Source organism: Homo sapiens, chromosome 11 (assembly GCF_000001405.40).
Source record: "Homo sapiens chromosome 11, GRCh38.p14 Primary Assembly".
NCBI classification, from domain to species: domain Eukaryota; kingdom Metazoa; phylum Chordata; class Mammalia; order Primates; family Hominidae; genus Homo; species Homo sapiens.
In genome coordinates this window covers 10,578,839-10,605,637 of record NC_000011.10, presented here as the reverse complement: position 1 = coordinate 10,605,637, position 26,799 = coordinate 10,578,839, and the positions used below count along the sequence as shown (strand labels likewise).

At 44.3% G+C, this 26,799-nt stretch overlaps 1 protein-coding gene and 1 long non-coding RNA gene across 10 annotated transcripts in view, besides 1 other annotated feature; one reads left to right on the top strand and one right to left on the bottom strand.

Moving 5' to 3' along the window:
• IRAG1 (inositol 1,4,5-triphosphate receptor associated 1) overlaps positions 1–26,799 on the top strand; it is a 120,661-nt gene that overhangs the window by 88,118 nt on the left and 5,744 nt on the right. For all 6 annotated transcript variants that reach the window (NM_001206881.2, NM_001206880.2, NM_130385.4 and 3 more), the window contains 8 exons: positions 1,093–1,233; positions 2,387–2,518; positions 4,579–4,720; positions 11,443–11,492; positions 12,039–12,146; positions 14,026–14,090; positions 23,652–23,771; positions 25,049–25,183. In NM_001206881.2, the coding sequence (NP_001193810.1) occupies positions 1,093–1,233; positions 2,387–2,518; positions 4,579–4,720; positions 11,443–11,492; positions 12,039–12,146; positions 14,026–14,090; positions 23,652–23,771; positions 25,049–25,183 (893 nt within the window). The remainder of the gene's footprint in view (positions 1–1,092; positions 1,234–2,386; positions 2,519–4,578; positions 4,721–11,442; positions 11,493–12,038; positions 12,147–14,025; positions 14,091–23,651; positions 23,772–25,048; positions 25,184–26,799) is intronic.
• IRAG1-AS1 (IRAG1 antisense RNA 1) overlaps positions 5,706–26,799 on the bottom strand; it is a 58,697-nt gene continuing 37,603 nt past the window's right edge. Inside the window, exons 2-5 of one of the 4 annotated variants that reach the window (NR_046374.1) lie at positions 19,512–19,611; positions 16,488–16,626; positions 11,410–11,521; positions 5,706–5,947 (exon numbers count right to left, since the gene is read on the bottom strand). This is a non-coding gene — a long non-coding RNA (IRAG1 antisense RNA 1). The remainder of the gene's footprint in view (positions 5,948–11,409; positions 11,522–16,487; positions 16,627–19,511; positions 19,612–26,799) is intronic. The other 3 variants (NR_046375.1, NR_034093.2, NR_034094.2) reach the window with 3 other exon arrangements.
• Positions 10,840–12,039: an enhancer, noted in NCBI's record as "MED14-independent group 3 enhancer chr11:10615146-10616345 (GRCh37/hg19 assembly coordinates)". NCBI's record gives its function as "activates an origin of replication core promoter dependent on BRD2, BRD4, P300/CBP and CDK7 cofactors, and independent of MED14, by STARR-seq in HCT116 cells {active_cell/tissue: HCT116}" and the evidence as "EXISTENCE:reporter gene assay evidence [ECO:0000049][PMID:35650434]".

Sequence of the window (26,799 nt, the reverse complement as noted above, 5' to 3'; positions counted from 1 at the left end):
AATCAGACAGTCTGAGGTTAAATCCTGGCTCCGTTACTCCGTGTCACCTTGAACAAGTTAATGACCGTTCTGGTCTTGGCCTCTTTACCCATAAACAGGTATAACAGTTCCCACCCCAGAGGGTTATTGTGAGATTACATGAATTTGTAGAATGAAAAGCAGTGCTGGCATATAGTAGATGCTCAATAAGGAGTAGTTTTCAATATTGCCTTCATCATCATCATTGGGTCAATTCTGTACCTTCAATTCTTCTGGAGATGACTGCCTTCCATGGGCCATGTTACATGAACTTCAGAAGCCCCTGTGGTTACTAACCCTGCAGGGTATAAATCTGCTACCACTCAGGGCAGATGATGGCTGTAAAATTGAAGACCATTGCTTCCTTCCTGAGTGAGGTCCATCTGTCTATTTCTTCTCCCTAGTAGTTTCCTACTGTTCTGGGAATTCCATGTATGACCAATATTATCTTTTCAAAGTCTGTTCATGCAGGCTGCAATTTTAGCATGAAACATTTATTTATTCCAGAAAGCTTAACCGAACAGAATCATACCTGGCCTTATTTAATCTCCTGGCAGCTACTTAAAGCTTCTATCAATACAGGATTTGGAATACTCGGGCTAGATGCTGATTGAAGTTTGCTTTACGTCAACAATGCTTAAATCTCACATGGAGTTTCTTTCAATACAGTATTTTCCTGCAAAATCTCCAAAACCCCTCATGCAATAAATCCCAGCATAAATCCAGATGCTTACACAATTAGCTGTACTGGCCTGAGTTTATCTAAACCCAGATACAGGATGTTATTTTCTTAAAATTCAGGAAAAAGCAAAGTGTTATTCTCTTCTTATTTTTTGGTAGAATACATTTGGACCTCCGGTTCTGGGAAGGGCCTAGCGTGGACCTTGGTCCCTGCTTTACCATCTTTTTTGTGGTTTCCTGTGAAGTGAGCGTTTCCCTTGCACATGGCTGCTTTGGTGCTTTGGCGGCTGTTCCAGGGGCCGTTGCAAAACGCTCGTGCAAGGAGCACAGCTGCAGCCTTGTCCTCTGCAGTAACTCCTCCCAGCACCTCTCTCACACCCTTGTTCCCAACAGAACGTGTTTGTGCAACTGTCCTTGGCCTTTAGAAATGACAGCTACACTCTGGAATCTAGAATTAACCAGGCTGAAAGGGAACGCAACCTGACAGAGGAGAACACTGAGAAAGAACTGGAAAACTTCAAAGCTTCCATTACGGTAATTGTGGAGCCTGATGTGAGGAATCCCTGGAGCAGAGACTGTCCCCAAGGGCCATACAGGGTGTCATGCTTCTCTCAGGTACCAAGTATAGTCTCCTGAAGTGAAAAATTGAGCCAAGACTCTGACAGTGTTCCTCAGAGAGTTGGGGGGAACTGAGGCAGAGATCCCAAAGGCCTGGTTCCCTCAGGGCTGTGGACAGGTCCTCCAAAGCCTTGGGAGCTTCTCAGAAGGGGGCAGGGTGGCCTGGGTGTGACTCCTACTTTCAGGCGCCAGGGATAGCGTGTTCACATTGGGCTTCTCCAAGCACCAGAAGAAACTGTGGCCCAGGCCCTGCAGAGGCCACTTCTCTCAGCCTGGATGGGGCCCAGAGCTGCTTTCATGAGAGCTGAGTCTAGGCTTGGTGTGTGTCTTAGTCAGTTTGAATTGCTGTAACAAAGGGCCTTAGACTGGGTGGCTTAAATGGCAAACATTTATTTCTCATAGTTCTGGAGGCTGGAAGGCCAAGATCAGGGCACCAGCATGGTCGGGTTCTGGTGAGGGCCATCTCTGGCTTGCAGACTACCACCTTTCCATTATATCTTACATGGTGGAAAGAGAACAGAACTCTCTGGGGTCCCTTTTATAAGAGCACTAATTCCATTCGTGGGGCTCCACTCTCCTCACCTAATCACCTCGCCCAGGCCCCACTTCACTATCACATTGAGGAGTTAGGATATGTCCCCCCAAAAGTCAGCAGATGACTTTGTGGGGGGCACAGACATTTAGCCCAGTGGTCCGCATCCCCTGGGCCAGGCCGCAAACCGGTACCAAACCATGGCCTGTTAGGAACCAGGCTGCACAGTAGGAGGTGAGCTGCCTGAGAGCATGACCTCCTGAGCTCCGCCGCCTGTCAGATCAGCAGCAGCATTCGATTCCCATAGGGTCACGAACCCTATTGTAAACTGTGCATGCGAAGGATCTAGGTTGTACCCTCCTTATAAGAATCTAATGATCAGAGGTGGAAGAGTTTCATCCCCAAACCATCGCCCCCACCAGGTTTGTGGAAAAATTGTCTTCCAAACCAGTCCCTGAGGCCGAAAAGGTTGGGGACTGCTGATTTAGTCCATAACATTATTTGAGGACCCCAGGTGATGCTCCTACTCCTGTTCAGTCCTCAGCTTCACTCTGGCACCACTGTGAGCACCGGGAAACCTACCAGAAGTTGCTGGAGGACATCGCTGTCCTGCACCGCCTGGCTGCCCGCCTCTCCAGCCGAGCTGAGGTGGTAGGCGCCGTCCGCCAGGTGAGTCTCTCCAGCCCCCGGTCTTGCCAACTCTGTTCCACCTACGTAAAGTAGAGCAATCACCCAAGCAGCGGCAACTACAGATACCACTTAGAGGTGGCTTCCTCTGGGCCAGGCATCCTATGCACATCATTGCAGTATTATTCAGAGTATTTTTGGCAGATCACTGAACCCTCAAGGTGCTTTGTGGAAAAAGGTTTCTGTGGACGCACAAGTTTGGGGACTACTGCATACTATCTTTCTTTCTTGGAAATTTCTAACACATTGGCCTAATCAAGGCTTTGGTAACTCCTGTGGTGGAGAAGGCTGGTTCACTTTACCTACATAGTTCCCAAACGTATTTAACTGAAGAATTCCCCCCACAGCTCTCCATTTTATTTTTCTCAAAAAATACCTGTTCAACTCCCATGGAGCTAGTATTTGACAAAACATACTTTAGGAAAACCTGCTTTGTCTCATTAAATCCACCCAGCAACCCTATAAATATCCTGTCTCCCAGATGAAGATGCAGAGTCTCAGAAAGTAAAAGCGTTAGTGGCGGAGCGGGGCACAGGCCCAGGTCTGGCTCTCTCTTGGCCACTTTGAAGTCCTGAAGCATACAGAGCCCCGCCCCGGCCCCCCATGTTGTAGCAGGAGCACATTGCCCGAGTTCTAATCCTGGCTCCAACCTTCATTCGCTGTGTGACCTTGGGCCCCTTACTGAGGTTTCTCTGCTTCAGTCTTTTCAAGTATAAAATGAGGATGGTCACAGTATCTGCCATAGAGGGTTGCTGCCGTACTTGTAAAGCATTTGGATGTTGTTATTATGTTGCTATGACATGAATCTATGTCCTGCTGCTCTGGTTACATGAGAGGAGGTTCCTGGGGTGGTGCAGCCCTGAGCAGTTCCTATTAAATAAAAGAAAGACCTGTCGCTGGGCCATCCCACCCTGTGTCCTTCAGGACAAGGACATCTGACTCAGCAGTGGTGCCCAGGAAGTCACTCCAGCTGGGAGCAGCAACACGGGAGGACTCTAGGGAAGTAGCTGGTCTCAGCCACGCATGACTGTGGGACCTGTTCCTGCGAAGCCACTGGGTGTGTCCCTCTGTGGCCAGGCAGGGCCTGAGCTAGATCCTCTGAGGGATCTAACTGGGGTATGAGCAGAGAGAAATTGTTCTCATTGTGTGCAGGCTTCCCAAACTTGTGCCTCAGCCCACCTGTCACTCACGCCATCTGCTCCCTTCTCCAAATGGCTCCCTCGTCTTGGCTGCTATGTCTCAGTCTTTGCCTTCCTCTCTGGCTCCACTGGGCCAGGTCAGGCTTCATCCTGTTTTTACCTGCTGCCCTCACTGCCACCAGTCTCACTCCCTTGAGTCCCATCTCTACCTATGACCTGATTATATTACTCTCTTACTTTAAGGGAGATATTCAATGGCTTCCCTTTTCCTTCAGAATAAGTTCAAATTCCTTTGTCTAGCATTCGAGGTCCTTCACAACCCAGACTTACAAATAGACCCAACTGCTTGCTGATCCCTACATAGGTAGGAGGACCTGCAGTGTCTGGGCTTTCTGGACAGCCCTGGTTTATTATGTCGATTGTCCCAGCATAATTTGTCGTCGTGCCTTTCTTCACTCTCCAGAGGACTCTTATTCAGAGGATAAAACCTCATCTACATATAAGCCCTGTGCTTCCCTGCCTCTAGACTCCTCTTGGAGTTCCCTGGCCTGAACGCTGTGTCCCTCCTGCCCTTGTCTATGGGCCCAGATGCTGCTCACATCCTACATCCACTGCATTCCCTCTCCATGAAGCCTCCCCTGACCCGTTCTCTGCAAGCAGAAACAACTCTCCTCTGCCTGTCATCTCCTGCAGTGTGGTGGCTGTGCTTTTCTCATTCTCCCTAAGCGCAGGTGCTGAGTCCACCTCTCAGCTCACATGGCAGACAGCAAACTCTTCAGAGGGCAGAGTCTTGTCCCTGTATCCTTTTGATTCTCCTAGCCCAGACCCTAGGTCAGAGCAAATAAGTGCCAACGGAGCCTTTCCTCCAATGGCCTCATGCACTCATGCGCTCCTTCCCCGCAGGAAAAGCGCATGTCGAAAGCAACGGAAGTGATGATGCAGTATGTGGAGAATCTAAAGAGGACGTATGAGAAGGACCATGCGGAGCTCATGGAGTTTAAAAAGCTTGCAAATCAGAATTCAAGCCGCAGCTGTGGCCCCTCTGGTAAGGACCTAGGCTCCTGCCCCATCTTGGCCCTACAAGGTGGACTTCCAAGAGCTCTTGGCTAGGATTAGAGCTGTCAGAACAGCCCCAGGACTTATTTCCAGTTGAGCAGCACTCCTGTCTAGTGCTGCCCACAGGGGCCTCCCAGCAGCTGCTTCAGTGGGCCTGGCAGGGCAGTCTGGAACCAGGAAACATGAGCCTTTCCAAAGTGACTTCCTAACTCCCAAAGCAATAAATCACAGTGGCTGACCATGGATACAAAGCCCATGGGCTACAAGAGCTCTTGGACTTACAGGGTCTGAGAGTGACCCTAGACCCTGTCAGTCCGTGTGCTTTGGGATCCCCTTTTAGGCAGCACATGCTAAGGAATTTGGGCTTTATTCTGGAAAGCATTAGGGATCCAGCCAATGATTTTAATCAAGAAAATGACTTGATCATATATGTAGTTTAAGAAGATTCCCTTTAACTGTGGTGTGGCAGTTACATTACTGGGACAAAGCAGGGATAGAAAACCCCATGAAGATGTTCTTGCAACAGTCCAGGTGAGGGGTGAAACCTGGGCAGTTAGGGTGGAGTGAGAGTCTGGCTGAAGGAGATGTTACGGAGAAAAACAGCAGACTCATGGGTAAGACAGAAGTTTCAAAGAAATACTCTTGTTTAGAAGTTCTATACGAATTGCTATAGGAGCACGGGGGAGGGCCCACCTGATTCTGCTTGAAGGGAGACAAAGAAGCCTTCAAAGAGGGATGGTATCTTGTTGGTGTTTTAAAGTAAAAATAGGAGTTCTCCAGTCAATAGAGGAAGACACATCCCAAGTGGAGAAACCAGCATGGACAAAGGTGTGGAGGTTGGGGGTGAAAACAAGATGAAACAAACAGTTTGTCATAGTGGCAGTGTCAGGGTGTGGAAGTGAGACTTGGTTGACCAGGGCCACACGCCAGGCCATGCTAGCAATTTGAGCCTCTAGGCAACGGGGAGTCATTGGTAAGTTTATACCACATGAGGTAATCAGCCTTTATTTTTAGATTATTCTGACTTCAGTGGACAATATATTGGAGGTGTGCAAAAGCTGAGGTAAAGAGAGACACAGTAGGAGGCTCTTTCTCAGTCCAGCAGGAAGAGGTTGGTGCCTTGGACCAGATCTCTCCATGGGCACTGTCAGGGTTTGAACTCTGGCTGATGAGGGTGGCTAGCAGGAGAAAACAGACCTTTTAGCAACAGGAATCCCTGTGGAATGCAAACATCCGTGTTACCAAGAGCTGCAGAAGGGAAAGTACAGAAAGTATAACAGATGGAGAAACCTTTATAAACAGGAGGTTTCACAAGTTTCCTGGAGAATATCAGTGACATGTCCCAGAGTCCAAAGGCAGCATGCACACATGCTCCAGACTGTCAGCTTTGGATCTGTCAGCAAGGCTCCTGACCCACATGCACCTAGGCCTCTAACCATTTTCCGTCAGTGTTGGAAGCTGAGGAAGTTGCCGCCAAAGGAATCCTAATGCGTGGACTCCTGCATTTATTGCTGCACAAGGCCTCCTGCAAACCACCTTACCTAAGATTTATAGGATGAGCAGTTACCCATGAGTCTCATTCGTTCATTCTACAGACATTTATTGAGTACCTTTGGTTTGCCCTATATAATACTGGAATATAGAGGTAAAGGGCACACAGTCACAGACCCAAAGGAGCTCCCAACCTTTGGGAAGTCAAGGCAGTGTAGCCAGTGCTATGACAGAAGAAAGCAGACTTCCGAGGAGAATACACCACAGAGTCCCACATTCACTCTAGGAGGATGAGAAAACGCTTACCGTAGGAAAGGTCAACGATAGCTGTACGTGTTTTTCTGATATTTGTTTCCACTCCAGTTGTTCTTCCAAGCTATACCTCAGCTTGGGCTAGGCAGAGTGGCCGTAACCACTCAGCAGGTGTTTCCATAAGATACTCTATGACTGTTCCCTAATAGTGTTTGTGTCTTAAGCCTTTATACAACCTCTGCAATCTTTGTCTATGCCTGGGGTTTTGAAGACTGCAGTAAATAAAATATCCCTGATTTCAAGGAAGGTGATATACATTTTTTAAAAATAACATGTTTCTTTCTGAATATGAAATTTACCAATTATCTGCATTTTAGATTATTTCCTTAGTGTAGATTTCTAGAAGTATGAATACTAGCTCAGGGGAAATAAATTTTTTAAGGCTCTTAAAGCAAATTATTTTCAAATAACCCATTTATGTTTTCACTGAATGGGTTACAATACTCAATTCACCGTGCCATTGACACAATTCTTGTTCTTTCTTTTTGTAAATATCCATGACTTTGATAGGCCACAATTGTGTCTTGTCTTATTGTTTTAATTGTATTTCTTGGCCTTTCCAAATGTTTATGGAACATTTGTATTTCTGCTTTTAAAAATTCTGTATTTATGACCTTTGCCACTTGTAAGCTTGGTAGTTTACTAATTTATATGAACTCTTCACATGTAAAGAATATTTTCTGGTTCTGCTATTTTGGCTGACTGGAAAACTTGAAAATCTTTTGACCACAAGCACTTAGAAATTGCTGCTGGACAAAATAAAGCAAACCTTTGTCTAAATAGCTGAATCCACAAGAAAATAAATTGAAATACCCAGATACAAGAAAAGAAAAGAGAACTGAAACCAAGCTGACCCTGCAGCTTCCTTAGGGACAAGTGTCAGCCTTGGTTATCTGGGAGCTGAGCTTTTGCACTTGCCTGTGGTCTGAGACAAGGCCTGGAACACCTATGGTAGAGAGTTGACACAGATTCCCACAGAAAGTTAAGGGCGTCCAAGGACTATATCCTCAGATGGAATTTGGATAAGGAAAAATAATAATCACCAACCAGCAGAGAAACAAGGAAATTTGTTTCACCCTGGACTGTAGTAGGAAAAAACACTTTCTCCTTCCTCATAGGGAAAGTACGTGCTCACAAAGTGACAGCAGTGATGATGCAATATGCAGAGGATTTGAAAAGAACAGCAAGATGGTGCTTCTAAGATATGTTAGAAATAAGCAGAAAAGTACTCTGGAGAGACAGACCCTGCATCTGGACACACAGGATTCCTCTAATAAAGCCTCACTGAAGATGACTTCACAACTTAAAATTATAAAATACACAAGAAAACAATTCATCATGAACAAAAGTCATCAGTTACACAAAACAATAGGATTATATCCTAAGAACCTCGGAAAATAAAATGATCTGACAATTTTTTTAAGATAAGCTTAAAATTGTTACAGGTAGCTGGGTACAGTGGCTCACGTCTGTAATCCTAACACTTTGGGAGGCCAAGGTGAAAGGATCGCTTGAGGCCAGGAGGTTGAGACCAGCCTGGGCAACAAAGTGAGACCAGCCTGGGCAACAAAGTGAGACCCTATCTCCACAAAAAATAAAAATAAAAAGCAATTAGTCAGATGTGGTGGTGGGCACCTGTAGTTCTAGCTTATCAGGAGGCTAAGGTGGGAGGATCGCTTGAGCCCAGGAAGTCAAGGCTTCAGTGAGCTGTGATCATGCCACTGCACTTCATTCTGGATGACAGAGTGAGACCGTCTCTAACTTAAACAAAAATTATTGGAGACATAAAATAATGGATCAAAAACAGAGTAAAAGAATACAGTTATCAAAGAAGAATAAAATAGAACTCCTCAAAATGAGGAATAAAGTCACAGAAATCAAAAACTCAAGAGTTTAGATGTGGTAGTTACTATATTTGAGGCTATTCTTCATTATTCCAGATCTCCTTCTTCTGGGCACATTTACCCATCCCCTTGAAGTCACAAGGCAAGGCCATGGGATTTGCTTTGGTGAATGAAATATGAGTAGAAGGACATGTCACATCTGAACCTAGGCCTCTAAGAACTAGAATGCAGTTTGCCCTGTTTCTTCCTCCTAACATGATAACCATCATTGCTCCAGAATAGTAGAAGGCCAGTATTAGGCTGAGTCCAGAGTGAGGAAACAGAGAACCAAGCTTGCTGCAGACTTGGAAGTAAATGAGCATGTAGCATAAGCAAATCACATCTTCCTTGTTATCAGCCACTAATACTTTGGAGTTGCTTATTATTACTATGCTATTAAACTAGTATAACCTAGCTTATCCTGATTGATTATAACATTTAAATCAAATTGGGCACAGTTGAAGAAAAATTAGTTAACTTGAAGATAGGTTTGAGGAAGTTACCCAATGTATAGTTCAGAGAAATAAATTGATTAAAATTATGAAAGAAGCATTGAGATATGGGATATAGAATGCAGAATGAGAAAGTCCCAAATACATTTATTAGGCCATCCTTAAGGGGAAAACCAAGGAGAGAAAATATGCCAAGAAAGAATGGCTAAGGATTTTCTAGAACTAAGGAAAGTCATCAATCATTGGATTCAGAAAATACGTGAATTCCAAGCAGGAAAAATAAAAACACACCAAAGAGAAACTGCAGAACAGTAAAGACAAAGGGAAGATCTTAAAAGTCATCAAAGAGAAGATTACTTACAAAGGAATGACAATTCTCAATGGCAATAATAGAAGAAGCCAATGGAATAATTTCTTAAAAGAACTAAGAGAAAATAACTGTCAATCTAGAGATAACACAGATGGCTAAGATACCATGCAAGATTGAGGGCTTGGTAAAGACTATTTGGAGACAATTGAGAAAGTTTACCTCTCATAGACCCTCGCTGAAAGAACAACTAGAGGATGTACCTAAGGAAGATTGAAATTGAACTCAAACACATGCTCACAAATGTTCATTGCAGCACTTTTCACAATAGCAAAGACATGGAATCAACCTAAATGCTCATCAATGACATATTGGATAAAGAAAAATGTGGTACATATACACCATGGAATACTATGCAGCCATAAAAAAGAATGAGATCACCTCTTTTGCAGGAACATGCGTGGGGCTGGAGGTCCTTATCCTTAGCAAACTAACACAGGAAGAGAAAACCAAATACTGCATGTTCTCACTAAGAAGTGGGAGCTAGACATTGAGTACATATGGCCATAAACAAGGGAACAACAGGTACCAAGGCCTACTTGAGGGTGGAAAGTAGGAGGAGGGAGAGGAGCAGAAAAAATCAATGCTGTCTACTAGGCTTAATACCTGGGTGACGAAATAATCTGTACAACAAATCTTCATGACAAGTTTATGTAATGCACCTGCACATGTACCCTGAACCTAAAATAAAAGTTAAAAAAAATTGAGCTCAAAAGAAACAAGTAGGATACAAGAAAGAATAGTCAACAAAGACATTTGTAAACGTGGGTAAATCTAAATAAGCACTCTCTGTAGAAATCAACAAACATAATGAATAATTTAAGAATACAAACACAAGGTGAAATAAAAATCCTGGAAAGCAATATAATTAAGAGGGAGGGTTATTATTTTAAGATTTATTCAAGAAAAGAATAGAGAGCTTGTTTAATTTTAAATTTAAAGTCAGTATGTTCAAAAGTTAAGAGGACATGCTAAAGGTTAAAAATAGAATGTATAATTTCCAAACAAAAGTGTCAGGTGGGAGGAGGGGTAGAAAAAGTCAATGAATAAAACAAAATAAATAGAAAATATAAAATTACATGGTAGAAATAAATACAAATATATTAATCACAAGAACTATAACTAGTATAAATCTATTGGTTAATAGAGAATCTCAGATTAGATTATGAAAAAAACAGGCCAGGTGTGGTGGTTCATGCCTGTAATTCTAGCACCTTGGGCGGCCGAGGCGGGTAGATACTTTAAGCTCAGGAGTTGGAGACCAGCCTGGCCAACATGGCGAAACCCTGTTTCTACTAAAAATAAAAAAATTAACCAGGTGTGGTGGCACACATCTGTAATCCCAGCTACTTGGGAGGCTGAGGCACGAGAATCACATGAACCCAGGAGCCGGAGGTTGCAGTGAACCAAGATCGTGCCACTGCACTCCAGCCTACGTGACAGAGTGAGACTGTCTCAAAAGAAAAAAAAATTTTTTTTTGAAAAAACACATACGGCTATGTGCTTTTCAAGAGACTCACCAAAAATATATGGATATGAAAGAGAGAGATATGCAGGCTAAATGATATTGGTTAAACTGAATCAAATTGAATTGAACTAGCAAATACCTTTCTCTGCACATACTCAGGTGTTTCCTGGTGGTAGGATTATCCAGGTATGAAGCTAAACATATTACGTGAGTTATATCACTTAATGTATGTAGTAAGGAGAAGAAAATCCTGGGGTGGTAGCTTCCTTTGCTCTGAGTCATTTGGTAGGTAACATATTGAAACTACTTCTGTTAGCAAGTTTTCATTATTTACTGGCACCACACCTTCCTTGCTCATAGTTTCTCTGACTGTACATCCTTGAACGAGCATGAAATAACCCAATAAGTCTTCGTGTTGCTGAGTAGTTTTCATACACTATCTAGGGTGTTATGCAGAGCGTGTTTAGTGGGGTCAGATAAAGATCAGAGGTCCAAGACTGGGGCTTCCTATAGTGAGAAGGGGAGTTAGGATAAAGGTTTTGTCCAAAAAAAGCCCCCACTCTGCAGCCCCATCTCAAAGGATGAAGTGCCAAACTCAGTGTCCCCAACACCCAGACCCTTGGGCTATCCCTTGAGGGCCAGTTCTGGCCCATGGATACGATAGCCTAGTTTCTGTTTCCTGCTGGTGCCTAGCCTGAAACTTACCTGTGTTCTCTTCTCTGCTCCCTCCTGCTGCAGAAGATGGGGTCCCTCGCACGGCACGGTCCATGTCCCTCACGCTGGGAAAGGTATGCATGTTCAAGGAATACCAGGGCTCCTGGAAGGAGTATGACAGAAGTTTCCATGGTCACCCAAACAATCATTCATTCTGGGATCCATGGATGCCAGAGAATCTCTGAACAGAGTTTCTATTCGGCTTTCCACACTCTCAAGTTTAGCCTCTGACATCTTACCTTTCTTGCTCATGGTTTCCTTAACTATGTATACATCCCTTAAATGAACATGAAGTGATCATAAGCCTTCATATTGCTACAGGCAGCTTGAATACAGTCTCCAGGGTGTTACCCAGAGACTGTGGGGTCATTTCCATTCTGTATCTCCAAGATCTCATAAGCTAAAATAGAACAGATTGAGCGTTCACTCACCAACAACAGAAAATTTGGGTCAACTTTGGCCACTCTCTCCACACCAATTCTATCATTGCTACTGCAAAACCAAAATATCCAGTGAATGCCATTACAGCATTAGAAATGAGGAGGCTTTTTCCCAGCCCTTCTGAACTATGGCTATTGCTACCTCCAAGACAGTGAGCCTGGTCACTTCTCTTCCTGCAGAATATGCCTCGCCGGAGGGTCAGCGTTGCTGTGGTTCCTAAGTTTAATGCCCTGAATCTGCCTGGCCAAACTCCCAGCTCATCATCCATTCCCTCCTTACCAGCCTTGGTAAGTATGACGATGTCTGCCTCCCAGCACAGAATAGTAGAATAACCTTTCCTTCGTACTCAGTCCTAGGGCAGGGAGGGTGACCAAATGGGGGCAGGGTCAACAAGGAGAGGAAATTTCCAGAATAGAATCTGAGTGATAGGCTCAAAAACTCAATATACACCAGGCTGCATGTATTCTACTACTCTGGGAAGTCCCACTGCCCTCAGCATGGTGTTGGCAGCTCAGCGTTCTTTGCAAATGATAACTCTTTTTGTGCTTACACCACAATCTGCCAAGGTGGTTACAATTTTTTTCTACTCTGCAGTGGGCTTAAGTAGCTGAAGTTTGTAATGTGTGATAGGTGGTAGAACAGCTTTGAACCCTAGGTTCTCTGATTCCACAGCCTGAGTTCTTCAACCCATTGTTCTCCTGCCTCAGTTCATTGTAGCATTGTTCATAATAATGAAAAGTGGGAAACAACTCCATGTTCACTAATAAGAGATTGGTTAAGCAAATGGATATTCCTATAAGGGGTTTCTGTAGAATTATCCATAATTTATTATGAATCAAAAGCAAGTAAAATAGAATATACAAAACCTAGTGTATAAACAGTATAATTCTGTTTTGTACTTTTTAAAAGAGTGTGTTTCTGTGTGTAGACATAGAAATTTCTGGTAGAAGATATGTGAAACAGCTAATAATGGTTATCTCTAGGCAATGGTAAAATAGTTCATTTTTATTTTCTTCCTGATGCCTTTTTATATTTCTATAATAAGAATGTATTGGTAATAATCAGGAAAAATACATTTCCATTTCTTTTAGACAAAGACGTTTGGATATAACAAAATATTTTCTGTATCCCAGGCCTTTGTGCATCTGGCTAATTCTCTCTAATTCTTTCTTCAGTGGTTTCTCTATCCCCTGCCTATGACTAGCACTACCCTATAAGGAAACAATCTGATTGTGTAAGCAACTGGAAATTCAAGCTCTATGTAATACCAATGAGTGGTATTCACTGCTTCCTGCCTCAAGCATTTCAGTCGTCTATGAAATCAACCTAAATTCCCAAATTACCCACTAAAATAAAACAACCTGAAAAAAATGTTTAAGAATGTTGGAGAGGACTGGTTAGTGTATTTTAACAGATCTATTTCCCATACTTTGCCTAAAAGCATAAATTTATTTTCCAAATATATATTCCTTTAGACTAGGGGTTGGCAATCAGGGCCATAGATTAAAAACCACACAGGGTACTTTTAAACCATTATTCCCCCAGGCCCCACACCAAGATTCTGGAGTGGATCGATACTTTTTTAAAACCTCCCCCAGGTGATTCTAATGTGCAGCCAACATTGAGAACCATTACTTAAACCAAATCCATTGCAACAACACAACCTGGAAATCCTGGGGAACGTATTGTAAAGAAATTTCTGATGGTTTGAGCTTTCAGTAGTGATTTGCATCTCCTGAGAATTGTACCTGGAGCTATGTCTCTAGGGACAGTGATGGGCTTGTGTGAATCTATTGTAAGGAGCCTGAGACCTGCATTTGTAGGAGGCCCACTGGTGTTCAGTCACAGTTGCTAAACGGGACAGAGAAAAACTGATGGCTCCTCTCCAGAATGGAGCCTCAAGATGTAAACTTTCCTCTTCACTTAAGGAAACTTAGCAGAGGTGAAGGAAAAGGAGGAAGCTGCATGTGCCCTAGAGGAAAGGAGGACAGGGAAGGCCTGAGGGAAAGGGCCAAGTCCTGGGCTCAGATGAAGATTGGAAAGTGGGGGCATGGAGGAAAGAGGAGAAGCAGCAGCCCCGCTCCCAGCATCATCAGAAATCCAGCAGCTCTGGCTTCTTCCTTCCATAGCGCATCCTCAATTCTCTGTCTTCTGTTTTTCACTCAGTCGGAATCACCCAATGGGAAAGGCAGCCTACCTGTCACTTCAGCACTGCCTGCACTTTTGGAAAAGTAAGTTTGTCGATTTTCCTCTTGGCTTCAGGGATCTCTCAGGAAATTTTCCCCATTTTACTTTCCTTCCTCCCATTTTTATCCCCAAAATGCAGTGGAAAGCAAATTAAGTTTTAAGGGAAATGAATGGGAGTCTGAAACCCACAAAGATTTCAGAACCTGTTTGCAAAATTCTTGAACCAGGAAGATGCCCTGAGTGAGGCCAAGTGTACCCAATCTTAGAGAGCCCAGAGAAGGCTGGAGCCTTCTCTGCCAATTGGGATTCCTTGGGCTACAGACAAAATAAAGCCCCAACTCAATGGGACTTAATTAAGTCCAGAGGTAGAGCTGCTCCTGGTATGGCACAGCAGGGCTCTAGCTCAGCGAGTCTACAACTTCCTTGCCTCTGGCCACATTGTATGTTAACTTCATCATCAGGATTGTGGCAAATGGCTGGTAGTTCCTGGGATCCCCTCCAGACAGGACAATACCTAGAGGAAGAAAGGGACTGTTTCTTGCCATGTTCCTTTCTTAGGAATAAACCCAGAAGCCTTTCACCAGTCTTCTCTATTATCTCATTGACAAATCTGGAAGGAAGTCCCTTTCTAAAAGAATCACTTTGGGAAAGGGATTGTCATTATGGGATTAAACTATTCCCTGGGGTTGGTGAGAGGGTCAGCTTCCCATAAAGCAAAATGACTCCATGAAGAAGAGTAAATTCCTGAACAGAATCATGTTGCTGTTAGGAAGTAGGAAGGAAAATGCATATTGGATTAGCAGCCAGCAGTTTCTGTGATTTTCTAGGCATCTATGCAATTTGCAGATCTTTTCATCCTCAGCCAGAGTAAGGCAGGCTGTTTCTATGCACTCAGAGGATTTTATAGCTTACTTTTCAAATTCTTTCATTTGCTTGCTGAAAAACATCTGGATCACACCTGCTGCCTCTCAGAATTTTCCCCTTGTGTCTTTTCTCACTTGGTAAAACATATACCTTATTCTTCCTTCTTCCTTGCCTCAAGACAGCTTTAGTCCTTTGTTTTTCTTTGCTGTTAGAAAAGTTTTGCTATCTGGCAGGGAACCTGTATGTTGGGACCCTTTTCAGTACAGACAAGCTCCCATCTCCAGACTCAGCCTGCCTCCTACATCTGTCATTCTGTATAGCCACCAGCTTATCACCCAGTGATTTGTTAGTCTTGAAGTTTGCCCAGCATTTCGTCTCTTTGCCACCTCACCCCCATAAGCTCACAGGTCCTTCGTGTTATAGAGGGTCTCTTGGGGTCTCTCTCTCTGTCTTTTCTTGATCACTACAGGGAAATTGTCAAGAGGCAACACAACCACCACCACATGGAAGTAACCGAGTTTACAGAAACTTACCAAGTCCCTAGAGTCATAGTACCTCATCCAGGGTCTCTGAATCTCTCCAGAAATGGTCACCTCATGCTCTGACTGAGAAACCCACTAAAATTCTCCCTGCCAACCTTCCCTTTGGGTGCACAGATCCCTACTTCAGAGAACCCTCAACTCTAGCCCCTTTCCCAACTCTAGGCCTGCAGAGCCACTCAAGGCAGAAGATCTCTTCAACAGACTCTTAATCATGACAGAGAGGGCCTGAACTCTGTAGAACTTATGCCAGGCCAGTTGAGCACTTCTGTCCAAGGCAGTGGGGATCATGAAAACATGAATTATCCTTGGTAAGGGAAACTGAGGTACAAAATTGGAGACAATAAGCAGCAGCCCCAAATTAGGAGTGTCAATGGGTGACGATCAATAGTGGCATCACCTTTCCAGTGCTTTATAGAACCTGGAGAGATATGGACAGAGTGGGGATTAAGGCAAGTCAAGCACACTGGGGCTGACTCGCCAGTTGGGAATATACCCATGTAAGAATGGTTGCAAAGAGGTGAGGGCATCTTTAGAGGAAGAGGGGTTCAGGATGAACAACAGCTTCCCCTTCTGGATTTCTCAAAGATGTTAAGTGATTTCCATTTAAAACTGGAAACATGGCCAGGCACGGTGGCTCACACCTGTGATCCCAGCAGTTTGGGAGGCTGAGGCGGGTGGTTCATGAGGTCAGGAGTTCAAGACCGCCTGGCCAAGATGGTGAAACCCTGTCTCTACTAAAAATACAAATAAATAAATAAATAAATATAAAGTGGAAAATTTACTTGATTCCCAACAGACTAACAATGAGACAATATATGAGTAAAAGTGAATTCGTATCTTCTGTCCTATACACAAATACAGTCAATTCTAACTGCCCTATCCATATCGTGAAAGAGAAATAATGTGTTATAGTTTAATATACATTGCTTTGGAGACTGTTGTATTCAGCTTTGTGTTAAAATGATTTCACCTTTCCTAAGCATACAGTGACAAAGCAGGAAGGGCACTGGCTAAGCAAAGGATAAGATCAAATACCCTGTGGCTAGTTCACAGGAAGATACTTGAGAGCTGGTTACACTGCTTCATGAGATTTCAGAGAATGCTGAGCCTTGTTCTTGGAGGTCATTTCGTAATGAACTGCTCTTCACTCACCAAGGGCCTAGAAACCTGTAGACTTAAACATATGGGTGGAGAGTGATATTTAAAGTTAGTCCTGAAGATGAAGAGAAAACAAAGCTCAAGAGCAGTTCCACAAGTAGAAATGGCTATGTAATTGTAGTCTTTTGTTCTTTCATTCCTTCAGCAATTAATCACCAAGGGCCAGGCACATAGAATGTACTCAAGGAGCTTGCAGTCTAGCGGGAAAGACAGATGGGAAGCAGCCTATTATAATACAACATGATGGGTGGGATCGTAAGGAAGTGTAGGTTGCTAAGGGAATGATGCACAGAAAATGAGCACCTAACCTGATTTTGGTGTAAGGTTGGGGGAACTGGGGAAGTGGGGGGAAGAGAGAGCTTAGAAAATGATTCCCCTTGGCTGGGCAGTGGCTCACGCCTGTAACCCCAGCACTTTGGGAGGCCAAGGCAAGTGGATGACTTGAGCTCAAGAGTTGAAGACCAGCCTGGGCAATATAACGAAAGCCCCATCTCTACAAAAAATATAAAAATTAGCCAGGCGTGGTGGCGTCCACCTGTAGTCCCAGCTACTCAGGAGGCTGAGGTGGGAGGATGGCTTGACCCCAGCCGGGAGAAGTTTCAGTGAGCTGAGATTGCACCACTGCACTGCAGCCTGGAGCCTGAGCGACAGAACCAGACCCTGTCTCAAAAAACAAAAAAAAAAAAGTTTCCCTCTAGGAACTTACTTTTAAAGTAAAAATCTAAAGGGTACATAATCAACTAGGTGAACAGGAGGTTAACAACATTCCAGGCTTTGTCCATGTGACAAAGTATGGAGTATTCAAGGAATGATGATAATGATAACGATGACAATGGTAATTACTGTTGACTATTTACAGCACTGATGACAATGGTAATTACTGTTAACTATTTACTGCACTGATGACAATGGTAATTACTGTTAACTACTGCACTGATGACAATGGTAATTACTGTTAACTATTTGCTGCACCTCGCTGTATGCCAAGTGCTTTGCTAATTGCTTTGTATTAATAATCTCAGTTAATCCTCACAGTAATTCCATGAGGTAGGTGTACTATTAATATCTCTGTTTTATAGATGAGGAAACTGAAGCTCAGAGAAATCGTCACTTGCCTGAGGTTACACAGCTGGTAGATAGCAGAGCACATGCCCTTACCCTTTTAATAGACCGCCCAACTGGAAGAACAAAACGAAGTTCAGTGTGACCATAGAGAAGAGGATGAATTTAAGAGCTATTTTTGAAAGAGCATGGTGACCGGTTGGGCATGGAGTGGAGAACAGAGTCGGGGTGAGAGACAGGGTGTGTGTGGAACCGTTCACAGAGCGATCAGCAAAACCAGGATGTAGATGATGCACAGGGTTAGTGTCAAAAAGGGGTTATTATGTTAATGTATCACAGAGCAATTTTAACTCTGAATCTCTAAAAATAACCATGTTTCTATACTCTTGAAGCACCCAGGGTAAATTCCTTAAAGATTTCACAGGACACTAAATTTGTACAGTAAGCAACTCCCCTTTGCTGATGGTATCTTGGAGTGAATTCCTCCCTCCCGCCACCCACCCCAATAAACTTGTGGCGGACCCCAGGTATCTAGAACTGAGTAACACGGAGTAAGGAAGCTTGGGTTCCCTGGGCTGGGCTTGTCAGAGGGAACCATGGCAGTGGGGGTGACTTGGAAATATTGCTGAGCCCAAGAAGATATGCCGATCACAAAGGATAGTAGCCACTTTCAAATATTGTTTACCATGTGGGAAAAGTTGAATCTAATATACCTGCCTGTCCAAAAATATATTTTGACTAAATAGTTCTTCACATTACTGAGAGCTGAGCACAATGACAAACATTTTTGACCTGGTGCACGTGTGAGAATAATGAGCCTCATTTTCATGAATCATCCCAGAAAGAAAGCACATAGGATTTCAGGCAGGGGACAGATGCCAAGATCCATGAGCCTTCGGGCCAGAAATCCCTAGGGTGGGCACAGGCTGTGCTCAGCTCCAGTTTATAGCCATGATTACAGATTCGTTTAGTCCAACCCAAACACTGGGTTCTCAGGAAATAACCATTTACAGAGAGGACTTGTGCCTTTTACAACATTCCTAGTAGGGACTGGATAAGTCATAGTGAAACCGATGCAACTTGACAGGCACTTAAAGGCACCTACTGTATGCCAGGCACTATTCTGACCCAAACACAGTCCTTCTTCCTGTGATGACAGTCATATGCAGGTATCTAAAACATACATCAATGCCTCCCTGTGAGTCATGCTGTCACAGAGGTGCGGTGGCAGCATAAAGGGAGAGAGAGGGCCAGGTGCGGTGGCTCATGCCTGTAACCCCAGCACTTTGGGAGGCCGAGGCAGGTGGATCACTTGAGGCCAGGAGTTCGAGACCAGCCTGGCCAACATGGTGAAACCCCATTTCTACTAAAAATGCAAATATTAGCCAGGCGTGATGGTGCACGCCTGTAATCTCAGCTACTTGGGAGGCTGAGGCAGGAGAATCGCTTGAACCTGGGAGGTGGAGGTTGCAGTGTGCCCAGATCATGCCACTGCACTCCAGCCTGAGTGACAGAGCGGGACCCTGTCTCAAGGAAAAAAAAAAAAAAAGGAGAGATCAACTTTAACCAGAGGGTGTGGGGGAGGGGAGAACACCAGCAAAGGTTTCACAGAGGAGAAGGCATTTGAGCTTAGTCTTAAAGATGCTTAGAGAGAAACTTCCAGATAGTTAGAGAAGATATTTAGGAAACTACAAGCTCAGTTTAGAGGTCAGGAGAGAACAGCAAACATTTTACATGTTGTGTTTCCCCCACTTGCCACCCTACCCACAACCCCTCCACTCCCCCCTACCCACCCTCCACACACACACACAGTAAACAAAGGCCCTCCCAGCCACTTACACTGTAGACAAGCAGCCTTGAAAAGAGGGGCAGCATGGAAGCCATGGTCCAGCCTGAGGGCAGGAAGGGCTTCACTCAGCAGAGTGAAAGGAAGAGACTTCTGTTGAAAGAAAGGCAGGGGGATTCATGGAGGGCTTCTATTGAAAGAAAGGTGGGGGTTCATGGAGGGCTTCTATTGAAAGAAAGGTGGGGGTTCATGGAAGGCTTCTATTGAAAGAAAAGCGGGGGTTCATGGAGGGCTGGAAAGTCCATCTTGACACACAGGTAGAAGACCAAGGTGAGAGTCCCAGCACCAATAACGTGAATTTAGGCAAGTCACTTAATCAACCTGAGCTTGGGTTTCTTATCTGTGAAATGGGATAATACCCCACCTAGGTGGCAGATAGTGCAGTCAGAAGAATGGGCACATATCAGACTGCACAGGGTAAAATTTGAGCTCTACCACACACTGGTTGTATGATCTTGGGCTGGTCCCGAGATCATACACATTCTCTCACTTGATCTTTCCAATGATAAGAAGAGCTAAAAGTTAACTTACTTATCAGGCTCTGTTCTAACATCTCATTTAAGGCTCACAAATGACCCAAGAAGGTATTACTGTTCTCTGTTTGACAGATATGAAATCACTTGAAATGCGATTCTCATGCCTCAGCCTACTTTTTGAGCCTTGGTTTCCTCATCTGTCAAACAGAGAACACTAATACCTTCTTGGGTCATTTGTGAGCCTTAAATGAGATGTTAGACCACAGCCTGATACATATAAGTTAATGTTTAGCTCTTCTTATCATTGGAAAGATCAAGTGAGAGAATGTATATGAGAGCCCTATAGGGGAGCTGAAATGAACAGAAGATCTGCATGTAAAAGAGTCGATGAAATGGGCTTCCTGGCCCTGCTAGGGAAAAGTTTTCCTCTCTAGAGATCAGTGACCCAAGGACAATGAGAGCTTTGTTTACAGTCACTTATCTGCAAAATTCTAAGGTGCATAATGTGTGATGACACACAATAGACATGCACCTGAGAAAGTTCCTAAAGCCATTTTATGAAAATGTAATGTTAATTTACCATACCTTAAATTAGTTCACATTTAGGGTTCCTCTGACTCTGAAGTGTCTCAGTAATATATAACAAGCTCTCCCTTGATGATATAAATAATTGCCTGGATTTTTTATGAGTCATATTTGGAGGTAGCTCAGATTGCTCCCAAAATGTACCAATACATTTACTATATAACAATAATAATAGCAGATATAATTTGTTGAGTGCCATATTCCAGAAAGTTTATTGACATTTCTTCATTAATTCTTACACCTCCACCATCAGGTATGTATTACTATCCCCATTGTACAGTTGAGGAATCTGAAGTTCAGGAAGATTAAATAATTTGCATGTTTTGGAGCTGGTATTTGAATCCAAGTTTGCCTCAGGCGAGTTCTTTTCCTTTATACTACACTGTCCTCCTTCACGCATGCTTAACATTAAGGAACCTCTAAGGCTGACAGTTGTATATAAATCAAAAGTCTGATACCAATATCTCATTTCATATATATATATATATATATATATATATATATATATATTTCATGAAAGAATTACTTTCCCTGCCCTTGGCTGTAGCTATGTTTTTCTCCTCTTGCTCCAGTCGTTTGGATAAATAGGAAACTGCACATTAGGCCAAGGTCACATGGAAGGGAGTGGATAATGTAATTTGCAAAAGGAGAAATGTTATGAACAGCTGGTATTTTTAGAGCGTTATCTTTCTTGTTCACAATGGGTTGTGGTTTCCAGCCTGACTAAATGTAAATTTTAAAAGGTCTGAGGAAAACTAAGAGATGGGAAACTGATGCCAAGAATGAGGAGAAGATACAAGGCTCACTCATAAACCCTGTCTGAGAGTTCAGGGAGGGTGGCAGCTGTGATCTTTCAGAGTCCTGGCTGGAAAGCTCTGCTCACAGTGTTGCCTTGTTGGAGGACTCCTCCATGACGACATTGCTCCCATTGGGAATCAGGACATGAAGGTGGGCTGCAGGATTTCTAGGGAAAGCATAGCCATCTGGATACTTCCTTTAAACTTGTGATCCCATACCTGCAATGATCTCCCAGCACCTCCCAGCCATCTTACCAAGATGTTCTAGTATGTCTGTTTTCCTTCTTTCTCATATAACTCTTTTACACCCCTCCTCTCTCCACAGACCTTCCTAGACCCCTCTACCTCTCACTCTCAGCAGATGACCTTGCCTTCCACTTTATAGAGAATACCTAAGCTACATTCCCATAGGAGCCCTCTCACTTTCCTTCACCAGATCTCCAGCCCAACAACTTCATCATCATCTTACCTTTGTTACAAACAAGGAGAGATTCTCTAGTTTTCCAAGGTCTGTCCCTATTTCCTTTTGCAAAGACTGAGTTCCTTCGGGCATCCCTTTCTCTCATCCTCTACTGGATCATTTCTACCTACATTCAAATGTGCATCCTCCCTTGACCTACTTCAGCTGCACACTCCCTCCAACACACCCCTCTACTCTCCTTCCTACTCGAATTGCTGTGTCTGTGGCTTCCCCTTTCCAACCTCCCCTTCTTTACTTTAAACCTGTGCTTGGCTCCCAACATTACACAGAGGCTCCTGTTGACCTCTGTATTATCAAATCTAATAGTCACCTTGTCTGCACGCTTCAAACTCAGAAGTGTGTGGCACTGTTTACTCTTCCGCCTTGATGAGCTCTTGTCTCCTGGCTCCCAAGACTCCACCTGCTCCTAGGTTTCCTCTTACCTCTCTGGCTGCTACTTCTCAGCCTTCTCTGAAGATGCCTTCTTTTCCACCTGAGACAAGTGTGGAGTTCCTCATGACTTGGTCCTGGGTCCTCCTCTTGTCTTTCTTCATATTATCTCCCTAAGCAATCTTGTCTATCCCCGTGGCTTTAAATAACATTTATGTTCTGATGACACCAAATGAATATCTCCAGCTAAAACTTCCCTGACTCACTTTGGTGAATTCAACTGTCTACTTGACATCTCCCTTTGGATACCTCACAGGCATTGCAAATGTCTCTTGTCCAAAAGTTAACTCCTGCCACACTGCCTCTTTTTAAGTTCTCAAACAACTCAGCACCTTTTGTGTCTCAGAGTCTTTACATAACCCGCATTCTCTTCCTGGAATGATCTCTCCTCTGCTTTTTTACTGAGTTTTGCTTTGTCATCCAGGCTGGAGTGCAGTGGTGCGATCTCAGCTCACTGCAACCTCTGCCTCCAGGCTCAAGCGATTCTCTTGCCTCAGCCTCCTGAGTACCTGGGATTACAGGTGTGTGCCACCACACCTGGCTAATTTTTGTATTTTTAGTAGAGATGGGGTTTCACCATGTTGGCCAGGCTGGTCTCGAACTCCTGATCTCAGGTGATCCGCCCGCCTTGGCCTCCCAAAGTGCTGGGATTACAAGCATGAGCCACCACACCCAACCCTCTCCTCTGCTATTAATACATCTGACTTCTCATCCTTCAGGCCTGTGCTTCAACTTCAGCACCTCAGAGAGGCCTTTTCTAACTATTCACTCTAAACACATTCTCTCCTTGTTATTTTCTGTCACTGTACAGAATTTCTTTCATAAAAGTTATTATTTGTAATTAATCACATATTTTTTCTTTCCTTTTTTGGGGCTTTTCCTTCTGCTAAGTTCCATGTTGGTAAAAACCATTTCTTTATTTTCTAATGTGCCCCCAGCACATTACAATGTGCCTGTGGCTTAGTCATGCTGAGTGGATATTTGAAAAGATGAGTGGGGGTCTTCAGGTGAAAGATAGACAACAGGAATGGAATGACCTTAAACGTGCTGGTCTGCCCCCATTTTCCTCATCTCAGCGCTGTAGATCACCCATTACAGCATCTCCTGGAATAAGAATAAACGCCAGTTTGGGAGCATGAGGAGAAGGGGAGCTGGTGAGGTATTTAATGGGCTGGGGAAAATTCATGGACTAGGACCTTTATAAAATCTTGTCTCAGGGTAGAAGGATTGGGAAAAAATCTGAAAGTTACTGAAAAAGCCTGAGTTTCCTCACTCCTAATCAGGAATCGGGCCAAAAACATGGTTTTGTTTTTAGGCCTCCACCTTTTTCTGAAATGATGCCCTGTACTTCCCTCTTCTCACTAGTGGAAAGACAAATGGGGACCCAGATTGTGAAGCCTCTGCTCCTGCGCTGACCCTGAGCTGCCTGGAGGAGCTTAGTCAGGAGACCAAGGCCAGGATGGAGGAAGAAGCCTACAGCAAGGGGTGAGTCAGACCTCAGCCACCCCAAGGGCACCTGGCAGTTCTCAGAAGATGCCTTCCCATGGGTCTTTCTTGTTTCTTAGAGGCTTTAGGGAAGTAACCAGTGGCCGCAGGACCTCCTTGCCACAGGAAGGAACTACATAGGAAAGAGCAAGACTGTTCCACAGGAAGGACAGGAGGAAGCAGGGTCAGAGGGTGTGGTTAGACAATAACAAGACTGCCCTCTTTTTAGGCAGAGAGCCACCAGAATGCCACCGCTCAGAATAGTCTGGAAATCAGGGGTCCTGGATGGGTTCCTCTTGGTGGTGCCTGAGGCTTCCTGACACGTGCTCAAAGCAGTCATGTTGCTGCCAGCAGTGCCCAGGAGCAGCTGCAGCTCTGCTCCCTAGAACTGCTTTGGTCACTCCTTCCTCCTATAAATGGAGTCTCTTCAACTTCGAACTGCCTCCTCCTCCATTTGAGCTTCAATAGCACCCATGGCCAGTTGTCAGCACTGGAGAGACCAAGTCCTGAGCAGGTACCAAGCCTCAAGGTAGAGAATCACCTCCAACCATGTATGGTGCCCTATGCGTCTCCTGTCTCCATAGCTCATGAGGAAGACATAGCTTCCCACTGGCACAGAACCCATGGGCTTCAGTGGTGGGTTTGCCCAGCCAAACTGCTAGTGTTAGACACTCAGCATAGGACAAGTGAACAGAGTATGTTTGGGGTAATATTGACCCTGGGGGAGAAAAACCACAAGGGTTTCTCTTTGAAAGCGTGCCTTTCTCACCCACCACTGTGCTCTATCCTTGGAATTTATGGGCATGAACTCCTTCATTGGTTTCGTAAACATTTACTGAGTACCTCTCTAGATCAAGCCATGTGCCTGGCACTTGCAAAAATCATTCCAACGCCCTGTGAAATGAGTGTCACCCTCTCTCTTTTACAGATGAGAGGCTGAAGCTCCACGGTCACATGGAGAACAAATACAATCTTAGCCCTACGGAATGTTTTGTGGGTTAAGAACCCAGTCAGGAGACCCTGCACCACATTTTTTCCCTGTCAGTTTTGTCACACTTTCACATAAACAGGAAGGATGACTGAGGAGTGAGGGGAAATGGTACTGGCGTGAGCTGCCTTAGGATTCAGTGGAGCTTCCCAGCTTTTTCCTGTTTTGTGGAACCATAGGAAGCACATAATTATTGGAGGTGCTGCTCAAGTCCCCTCCCCTAGGAACTCAGGAAAGGATGCACTGCATCTGCCCTTTCCAGACTCAACTGTTCCTTTTTGCCCCCCAGATTCCAAGAAGGTCTAAAGAAGACCAAAGAACTTCAAGACCTGAAGGAGGAGGAGGAAGAACAGAAGAGTGAGAGTCCTGAGGAACCTGAAGAGGTAGAAGAAACTGAGGAAGAGGAAAAGGGCCCAAGAAGCAGGTGGGAAGCCTGTGTTTGGAGTCCTTGCCGTTGCTGAAATGGGGGTTACAATTCATCTAATTTAAATGCACAAAATCCCTGGAAATGCCAGTCCAGGGCAGCAGTGAATCTGGGGCCCCAGTGAGTAGCCCAAGAAACCAAGAGGGCACACATGTTGGGAAGGAGGTAGAGGAAATCCCAAAGAGCCAAGATAGCTAGCAATGAGAAGTTTGCAAGAGCTTGAGAGGTCAGGGGCAGTCATGGGAAGGGAGGATGGCAATCAAGAGCTCCAGGAGCTAAGGAAGGGCGAAGGGCCCTGAATGGAGTCCCTCCCAGCCCAGCCATGGTTAGCTCATTTCCCAGATGAAATTATGGGTAGCCATCCCCATGAAGAGGCCCAAGACAAAGAGAGTTGACTCGAAGCCCTGGAGTGAGTTTCTTACAAGAACAGGGACAGGGAGGACACACGGAATAGAGGGCAAACTCAGCTCAGTGGCAAAGGTGAGTCTCCAGCAGGTGCCTACCATGCTGACCAATCAAGCTTGGTCTTCACTTTAGGTTGGAAATACTTGGGGTTTTCTTTTAAAATACTTCCTATTTCAAAGGTACTTTCCCCTAAGTTGGGGAAGGAGAATATAACATGTAGATAAAGAGAATATAGACCTGTATCTTGTCCCACTTGTGGTTCCTGCCTGGCCTTTAGGATGCAGAATCGTAGAAATGACCTAATTTAGTTCCAGGGCACTCCATGCAATGAAGTATTATAGGAATGAGGTCTCAGCCCCACCTGGCCTGAATTATCCCCTAGAAGTTCACGCTTAGGGATAGGATAAACTAGCACCCATAGATGAGGTGTTACTCTACCCCACAGATATAATAACCATGCCAACATTCTGGATTTTCAGGACAGCCCAATTTCATATATTCAGCTATGTTGTCTCTATTAGTATAGTTAAACCACAAGTCTTGAATTTTGATTTTTTAAAATGTAGTAATAGCCACCTTGGAAAACCTTCACCAAAATCTATTTTTAGACCCCTGGGATATCTTGGGGTCCAGGGCAGCTCCAGACAAAATATCTAATCAGCTGCTGAAATATTATCTAATCTGGGTATGTATCTGTGCCTCATTGCTGGAAAACTCTGGAAACCACATGCATGCAACAAATAGGTAATGAAGTGAAGATTAGAAGCAAAATGGATAGGCACACAGGAGCTATCAATAGAGCCCAGTTGGTGGAGAATTCAACTAAAGTCAGAGGTCTCAGCCCATGCTGGTCGACCCCATTGTTCAGGGGAAGAGCCGTTAGGAGAACTGGAGAAATGCTTCTCCACTGAAAACAAATCACACACTGTCTCCCCAGTGAAAGAACCTCCAAGTTTAACAATTAAAGTGCAATCCCTACTCCAAGCAACCAGATCCTGTTCTCCTTAGGCCTCATCTCCCTCCTGAGGGTTCTCTGCTGATATTTCTCAGTCCACCACATTGCCTTCCTCCCCTTTAATGCAGTCAAGCAAAGCCCTAGACAAAAAGCCTTTCCTCTGGCACCCGTGAATACAGCAGAGACAGACTGGAACTTCTAACACTTCCAAACACTGAGAAAGAACAAAAGAGAAATAAACAGAGAGAGAGTACAT